Source organism: Homo sapiens, chromosome 10 (genome assembly GCF_000001405.40).
Source record: "Homo sapiens chromosome 10, GRCh38.p14 Primary Assembly".
In the NCBI taxonomy this organism is placed as follows: domain Eukaryota; kingdom Metazoa; phylum Chordata; class Mammalia; order Primates; family Hominidae; genus Homo; species Homo sapiens.
In genome coordinates, this window is record NC_000010.11 from 128,142,010 (window position 1) to 128,151,357 (window position 9,348).

At 48.0% G+C, this 9,348-nt stretch overlaps 1 annotated feature.

Annotated features, from left to right (window-relative positions):
* Positions 7,991-8,430: a silencer, noted in NCBI's record as "silent region_2933". NCBI's record gives its function as "represses an Ori minimal core promoter by ATAC-STARR-seq in GM12878 lymphoblastoid cells {active_cell/tissue: GM12878}" and the evidence as "EXISTENCE:reporter gene assay evidence [ECO:0000049][PMID:35858748]".

Below are 9,348 nucleotides of genomic sequence, written 5' to 3' on the forward strand. Positions count from 1 at the left end.
TTTTTTTTTAATCAAATCAATGTTAAAATTTTGGCTTGATTTAAACAATCATACACAGAGGGTGGGGGAAAAAAAGAAAGAAAACTTTGTAACTGTAAGCATTATTTTAAAAATTACATTTGGTCCTAAACACTCTCTTGATTCTGGTGATGGTTTCAAGAGCATTCAACTTTATTAAATTTTACACTTTGAACACATACAAAGTTTTCTGTATTCCAATTAGACCTTAATAAAATTGTGCTTAAAAAAATAAGCAAACCAAAACCAAAACAAACCAACAACAACAAAAAAAAACCCAAACAAAAAAACAAAACAAAACCAACCACCCTGTACACGCCATCTGGCAGGCTTTGGGAAATACGCATGGTCACCTCATAATCGTTAATCTATTAAGTCAGAGGGTGTGTACATGTAAAATTGTTATGTATATTCTTAAATTGCCATCTCCTCTGTTCGAGCTATGTTTTTCTCTTTCACCAATAAGGAAACATAGTATCATTTTTTTTGTCCACTGAAAGACTCAAGTGTGGCCGGGGAGCAGTGGCTCATGCCTGTAATTCCAGCACTTTGGGAGACCGAGGCAGGCAGATCACGAGGTCAGGAGATCGAGACCATCCTGGCTAACAAGGTGAAACCCCGTCTCTACTAAAAATTGTGTTTTTGGCCAGGCAAGGTGGCTCACACCTGTAATCCCAGCACTTTGGGAGGCCAAGGTGGGCAGATCACTTGACATCAGGAGTTTGAGACTAGCCTGGCCAACATGGTGAAACCCTGTCTCTACTAAAAATACAAAAATTAGCCAGGTGTGGTGGCACATGCCTGTAGTCCCAACCACTCAGGAGGCTGAGGCAGGAGAATAGTGTGAACCTGGCAGGCGGAGCTTGCAGTGAGCCGAGATGGCGCCACTGCACTCCAGCCTGGGTGACAGAGTGCAAAAAAAAAAACTCCATCTCAAAAAAAATAAATAAATAAATGAAAGAAAGACTCAAGTGTCTGGGATGCTGCCTCTATCCAGGCAAATTTTGTAAAGCACCTATGGACCCGCATCTTTGATCCGCCATGAATTCTGTTAGTGCTTCTTCATTCTGTGTGTCTCACCTCTGAAGAGGATGGGATGTGGTCCTGCTGACATCTGGCACCTCAACGTAGGTGCCTCTGTACAGTCAGCATAGACTCAGTGAATGCCTGCAAATCCACACCAGGCCATGTTGCTTCCCAGCTTACTCCATTCAGAGGGTTCCAGTTGCTTTTATTTTATTTATGTATTTATCTTTTGGAGACAGAGTATCACTCTGTTGCCCAGCCTGGAGTGCAGTGGTGCAATCTCAGCTCACTGCAACCTCCGCCTCCCAGGTTCAAGCGAGTCTCCTGCCCCAGCCTCTCAAGTAGCTGAGACTATAGGTGTGCGCCACCACACCTGGCTAATTTTTGTATTTTTAGTAGAGACAGGGTTTCACCATGTTGGCCAGGCTGGTCTCAAACTCCTGATGTCCAGTGATCTGCCCACCTTGGCCTCCCAAAGTGCTGGGATTACAGGTGTGAGCCACTGTGCCTGGCCAAAAACACAATCCCAGTAGCTTTTAGAATAGCATCTGAATTCCTGCCTGGCTGTCTGAGGCTGTGGCCTTCCTGCCTCCTGGCCTCTTTTGATCTCTTGATCCAGTCCCCATGCTCAGCCCCCTGGGCTTCTTCCTTCCTGGAAGGTGCCAAGCTCCTTGTGCCTCAGGGCTGTTGATTCTGCTGTTTCTTACACTGGAATTCTTCCTGGAGGAGGGAGAGGAGGTGAGCTTTGTGACTGGATGAGCCACTCCTGGAGCAGGTATTGTGAAGCCTCCAGAAGAGGAATCAACCTGGATGTGCCTTGACCGGTGAAGACCTGCTCCAGCCACAGGGGGTTCTGCATCAGCCCACCTGCCCGCACACAGATTAACCACCTGGACAAAAGGGAACCAGGGCATAGATCTCAACTCTCCAACTTTAGAGAAAGGCAGTGAAACAAAACATAACATCAAAAAGTATGGGCTTATGAGTATATATGCACATCTGCTTTTATTAAAAAGAAGCTACAGGAAGATAAACCATACAACGTAAATATGGAGAAGGGAGGGGATAGGGATAGAAGCCCAGTTTCTCTGAACTGTCTTCTTTGGTAGACTTGACTTTTGAGCCTTATAAATATTTACATAAATATAAAACCAATTAAATCAATAAAGACAAAAAGAAGAAACCCTAAAAGTAGAAATTAAAATACAACTGTGTATCATGCAGCAATATAGCTCCATAGAGAGGAATAATTTAGTTATTTTAAACACACCAATGTAAGGGTACTTCTCTAGACAGACATTCTCTGAGGATAAAATGAACTGAAAACCAAGATTAATCAGTTTCCAAGAATTGTGTTGGTAGTGATATTGATGTTTTTCTGAACCTATATATTATGATAGGATGAGGCAAATAAGCGATTATTTGAACATCACTAGGAATAGGATTTTTTTAGCCTAAGAAAAAAGGAATATAAAGTCAAAAAGTTGTGTTTTGTGGCCACTGTGCAAAAGCAGAAGGGGGTCCCCACCCAAAATTTGGTTTGGGTATCAGGACTGATGGTGCCACACATCCACCCAGAGGGTATGGGAAGGGTTATTACTCACATAATTGAGCTCTTTGGGGCAACAGATAGGCCTCCCAAGAGGGTGTGAAATGGCCTGAGAAAGCAGGGAAGGATCTGGCTTGTGGTTAGGGCTGGGGCCTGTTGAGAGCTGGTGGCAGGGCCTCTGTGGGTTGAGGAAGAAGCTGAAGCTTTCTTATTAGTTTGCCCAGATGTGGGGTTGGGGAGTGGGGAGAGGGAAGGATGAGGCTTTAAGGCCACCAGCAGTCGAACATCAAACATCAGAAATGGAGTCTGACTCCTTATGGCATTCAGTAAATTCTGTACTGAGAATGTCAGGATGAACTCATGGTGTATTATCTTTCAAAATTTAAAATAAAACAGATTTCCTTGTATATCCACTGAAGAGGCCTTGAATTTACCCCATAGTTATGAGTGTCCTTACATCCTAGATTATGACCTTGAAAACCATTTTCCATTAAAAGGAGTTAAGTTTCCTTGTAGAAATGGTGGATTCCAGATCCGGAGCAAGAAACCTACAGGATGACCCTGGAGCATTTTGTCACATCAACAAGCAAGGATGCTCTAAAAACATAAAAATAAAAACCTACTGTGATCATGTCTGAAGGACCCAGGAGCCAATCTGAAGAGACTCTCCTCTGCTTAACATTGGGAAGCTGTGATCTTCAGTAAAAATAATGTCTGCCGTAATTTGAAACACATCAAATATGTTTAAGTTCCTCAAACTCACAATGATACTTTTCAAAAAGGAAGAATGGAAGAAAGAAGGGAGGAAGAGAAGCTCGTTAAGTATCTTTGGACCATGCAAGGTGATATGGTTTGGATCCGTGTCCCTGCCCAAATCTCATGTCGAATTATCATCCCCCATGTTGGAGGTGGCACCTGTTGGGGAGTGATTGGATCTTGGGGCAGCTTCTTATGGTTGAACGCCATCCCTCTTGGTGCTATCATTAGGAGAGTAGTGAGCTCTCCTAAAATCTGGCTGTTGAACAGTGTGTGGGGCCTCGCCCTTCTCTCTTCTTCCTACTCTGGCCACGTGAAGTGCCTTGCTGCACCTCTGCCTTCTGCCATGACTGGAAGCTTCCTGAGGCCTCCCCAGAAGCAGAAGCCACTATGCTTCCTGTACAGCCAGCAGAACCATGAGTCAATTAAACCTTTTTTCTTTGTAAATTACTCAGTTTCAGGTATTTCTTTATAGCAATGCAAGAATGGACTAATACAAAAGGAAACCAGCCATTTAGGCAAAAAAAAGGGACAGGACCAAGCTTTCATCTGCCCATGCTGTTGGGACTGGACTCCACTGTTATCAGGCAGTTGATCCTCAGGGAGTTTCTCTCTATAGATGTATTGAGTAAATGAATGGAGAAGGAAAATGGACGTAGAATATCATAACTATGTACAGCCTTAATGAAAAAATAAATCTAGGCAATTGTATAACTCAAAGGCTGCTCACAGCACAAAAGGAGACAGAGCGTGGCATGCACCCTGCAGGAAGTGTCCACCTTGGCCTCTGAGTAGTCTGGAAAAAAATCACCCTGAAGGATCTGCCAGTTTACAAGAACCGTGGGGAAGAGAGAAACTGGGAAACTTCACCAGTGGGGTGTAGTAAACAAAATCCAGAATGTGGGTGACTCCAGAGGACGAAGAATGTGATTTCTTCAAAACACTGAAAGGAAACAAAAAAAAGAGGGCAAGGGAACCAACTTTTTAATGTTACTTTAAGATGGAGTCTTGCTCTGTCGTCCAGGATAGAGTGCAATGGCACAATCTCAACTCACTGCAACCTCTGCCTCCTGGGTTCAAGCAATTCTTCTGCCTCAACCTCCCGAGTAGCTGGGATTACAGGCACTTGCCACCGTGCCCAGCTAATTTTTGTATTTTTAGTAGAGACGGGGTTTCACCATGTTGGCCACGTTGGTCTTGAACTCCTGACCTCAAGTGATCTGCCCACCTTGGCCTCCCAAAGTGTTGGGATTACAGGCATGAGCCACCACGCCTGACCAAGAACCAACATATTTTAAAGCAGATCAAAGGACTTCGACTCACTTTCCTCCCACCAACAACTTTAAAACTGGACAACATACCTTAGGCAGATCTTTTCCGGTATTCTGCTACAGCCAGCGCAAGGCTGCCATCCTTGAGAGGCGGGAGGCACATGACCTGAGCTCCTCTTTCCCCTCACTCCCAGGTTTCAGTTAGGGTGCAGGGAGGTGAGACCACGTGGAGAGGAATGGCCTCTCTGCTCTAAGAAGGCAGAGATCGGAGTTTGTGGCTGTGGAGAAAGGTGGGTTTGTGGGTGAGGCTGTGTGGGAGGAAGCTGCACAGGGTAGGGGCAGGCAGTGGTCTGCCTGAGAGATGCTGTCAGTCCTTAGCCAAGGGCTGGATTTGGAAAGTCCAAGGAAAGGCTCTGCAAGGAGACTCTGCAGGGAACAGCTGCTGAGAGAAAAATCTGCCCACCTGGATTTTCATATAAAAGGGATATGGTTTGGCTGTGTCTCCACCCAAATCTCATCTTGAATTGTAGCTCCCATAATTCCCACATGTTGTGGCAGGGACCCAGTGGGAGGGAATTGAATCATGGGGGTGGTTTCCTCCACACTATTCTCGTGGTAGTGATTACATCTCACCAGATCTGATGGTTTTATAAGGGGAAACCCCTTTTGCTTAGTTCTCAATTCTCTCTTGCCTGCTGCCATGCAAGAGTGCCTTTTGCCTTCCGCCTTCTGCCATGATTGTGAGGCCTCCAGCCATGTGGAACTGAGTCCATTAAACCTCTTTTTCTTTATAAATTACTGAGTCTCGGGTATGTCTTTATCAACAGCGTGAAAATGCACCAAAGAACATGTCTTGTTAAAATAAGGGTGAAATAAAGGCACTTTCAGAGAAATAAAAACGGAACTCATTCCCATCACATCAGGGAAATGCCATTTAAACCCACAATTAGAAAAGTCACACCCACCTTGATGGCTCAGACAAAATAGATGGCAAAGAGCAAACGGGGAGGAGGTGGGGACAGTGGAACTCTCATACTTGGCTGGTGGGAACATTAATGGTAAAACTGTGCTGTGAAAACTCTGGGCAGTTTCTTACAAAGTTAAATAGACTTCTTCCCTATGATCCAGCAATTCCACTATGAGGAATTTGCTGAAGAGAAAACGAAGGCATGTTGCCACAAGAGACTTGGATAAGCAACTTTACTCACTACATCCAAAACTTGGGAACAATCCAAATAGCCATCAACAGGATATTTCCTAACAGAATAAATTACAATATAAATTGCATTATATTCAGATGGTGAAATACTACAAAGGAATGAACATACACATAATATTGGTATGTGCAACGCTGTGGATGAATCTCAAAAACATTATATGGGGTGAAAGAAATGTGGCAGATAAAACAATATATTGTTTAATTTTATTTATGTGAATTTCCAAAACAGCAAAAGTATTCTATGATAATGGAAACCAGATCAGCGGTTTCCTCTGGGCTGGGTTCATGGGGAGAGGGGAGGGAATTTTCAGAGGTAATAGAAACTTTCATATTTTGATTGATGTGTGGATCACACAGGTGGTTCACATTTGCCAAAACTCTCAGAACTCTACACTTAAGGTCTGTTCATTTTACTATGCATACATTTTTTACCTTAATTAAAGAAACTTTAAAAACCAACCGGGCCGGGCGCGGTGGCTCACGCCTGTAATCCCAGCACTTTGGGAGGCCGAGGCGGGTGGATCATGAGGTCAGGAGATCGAGACCATCCTGGCTAACAAGGTGAAACCCCGTCTCTACTAAAAATACAAAAAATTAGCCGGGCGCGGTGGCGGGCGCCTGTAGTCCCAGCTACTCGGGAGGCTGAGGCAGGAGAATGGCGTGAACCCGGGAAGCGGAGCTTGCAGTGAGCCGAGATTGCGCCACTGCAGTCCGCAGTACGGCCTGGGCGACAGAGCGAGACTCCGTCTCAAAAAAAAAAAAAAAAAAAAACAAACCAACCAGATACAATTCATGGGGCTTATTGGGACCTGAATTGGAAAAATCAACTGTTACAACTCTTAACTACACTTTTATGAAGCAGTTGGAGAAATTTGAACATTGAAATTTGATGGCATCCAGGAAATACTTTTTGGTGTGATGATTTTATTATTAGTGTGGCAATGGCATTGTTATATTAAAAAGAGTCTTTAACTGTTAGTGACACACCCTGGAATATTTATGGAGAAAGAGAGATGATTTCTCACATTTGCTCCAAAATAACCCCACAGGGGTGGGGTACAGTGTGGTTAAGTGTCCTGGGGGTGGGGATTAATAGGTGACACCTAGCTATGAACATCAATCTCTGAAGCTAGGTGATGGGTACACGGGGTTTGTGTATTTTCTTTTCTTTTTTTGAGATGGAGTCTCTCTCTGTGGCCCAGGCTGGAGTGCAGTGACGCGATCTCGGCTCACGGCAACCTCCGCCTCCTGGGTTCAAGGATTCTCCTGCCTCTGCCTCCCCAGTAGCTGTGATTGCAGGACCGTGCCACCACGCCCAGCTAATTTTTGTATTTTTAGTAGAGACAGGGTTTCACCATGTTGGCTGGTCTCGAACTTTCCACCTCAAGTAAACCGCCCGCCTCCGCCTTCCAAAGTGCTGAATTACAGGCATGAGCCACCACGCCCGGCCAGTTTGTGATTCTTTCTACTTCTGTGTATGGTTAAAATTTTGCACGAGAACAAGGTTTTACAATTAAGTGTTTCAGCCATGAAGAACATTAGGAAGTCAGTCGTGGCGGGCATGGGGTTCCGTGACAGGGGTGGAGCTGGCAGGGAGAGGTGCCAGGCCCTGGTGCCGGGGCGCGCCCTACGTCTGGGGACCCCGTCCTGGGGAGTTCCTGGGTCCCGACAGCTTCAAGGCCTCTGGCTCTGGGCGGCCTCAGCATTGTAGTGTCACCCGCCGCCGGCTTCCCGCACAGTCAGGACGACCCCGCGTCCGGTGACAGCCGTCCGACCCCTCTCAGAAAAGGAACTTCCCTTAACATTTAAAGTACATCAATTGCCAACATTTCAAACAAAAATCTAGCTTTCTGGCTTCTCTTGAAAGAGCAAAGGATCAGGTCACCTTCGCAGGCCCAGACTCCACCGTCAGCTGCCGCCGACGGAGCCCACAGAGGAGGCTCGGGCGCCCGCGCCCCCTGCGCAGCGGCCCCTCCGCAGCGGCCCCAGCCCGCGTCCCCGCAGCGCCCCTTCCGAAGCGCCCCCTCCGAAGCGCCCACAGCCCGCGTTCCCGCCCGCACCCCAGCCCGCGCCCCCTGCCCGGGTTCCCGCAGTGCCCCCTCCGCAGCGCCCCCTCCGCAGTGCCCCCAGCCCGCCTCCTCGCAGCGCCCCCCGCAGCGCCCCCCGCAGCGCCCCCAGCCCGCCCCACCTGCAGCGCCCCCAGCCTGTGTCCCCGGCCCGCGACACCAGCCGGCGCCCCGCAGCGCCCCCGCACGTCGGTCACAGGAGCGGAGCCCACGCGGCCCTGGAGCGCGGTGGCTGGGCCCGTAGCGCCACCTGGCGGCGGATCAGGGCCCCCGCGCCCTTGCGTCCTCGGAAGGGGGAGGGGAAGGGACTCCACCCTGCACCCCCCACAGCGCGCTCCCGAGGCCGTTTCCCAAGGATGCGCGGGCCCGAGGGGATGGGGACGCGGCCCGCGCGGCGCGTTCCTGGCTACCTGGAGTCTGGGAATGGCGAATCCCACTCGCAGCGGACACAGGCGAGGCGCAGCGGGACGGGATTGGTGGGAACGGAAACAGCGGTCACCTGGGAGCCCAGAACCAGCGAGTGCGCGGTGCAGCGTTCGCTTACCAAACGTTGTGGGACAAACGCCTTTCAACTGTTTCTGGACGCCAGTGGGCCGGCGTTACCCTGTTGAGCCATTCCTTTCTATTAGCTTACTATTGTTAGTATTGTTATTATTTGGAAACTTTAGCCTACAACGATATATTTATTAATTTGGAAACTTAAGACATATCTGCCCAATCAGCCACTCTGTGTTTTAGGCATTCATCTCTGGTCCGTTTGATCTCAGGCAGCGTGCTGAAAAGGATGAACCGGGCAGCTGGAGTTGTCCAGGGGCACGTAGCCTGCGGGGCGCACGGAGGGGCCTCGAGCGCGTGGCCCTGCGCGTCCCGGGGGGCGCCCGCTGTCCACAGCCGCCTAGGGAGCTCCGCCACCACCCCTCGGAGATGGAACTCCCATGACACAAATTTCCCTATATAGCAAACCTGTGCTTGTACCCCTGAACTTAAAAGTTCTCCCCCACCAAAACACAAAAAACTAAAAACTAAGGAACATTCCTTCCTAGACGTCTATAATCAGTATCATAAAGATCCCCTTGCTGGTGGTTACCCAACTAAGAGTTCATGGAGCAACAGTTTAACTTTTGTTTTCTTTTAAAATCAAAGCTGTACTTACACCTGATTTAAAAAACAAAATAGGTTTAGAAGGCTTGTTACAAATCACACACCCCCGTAACTCAGAGCAACCCTGTTCGGCCCACCTGCTGTTATTCCTTTCCCAGGAGGCAACTGCTTTGGATCCTTTTAGCTAACCAGCGGTGCAGCGACGGATTCTGTGTTGGTGCAGTCCTTCTTGCTGTCTCATGGTTGAGCACCCTTCCCACTGGGGAGATGATAAAGCACACCGGGTTCTTCCCTGTCACCGCCCGCAACCCCCACTCATGCCTTTCCTATCCATGCATGCTT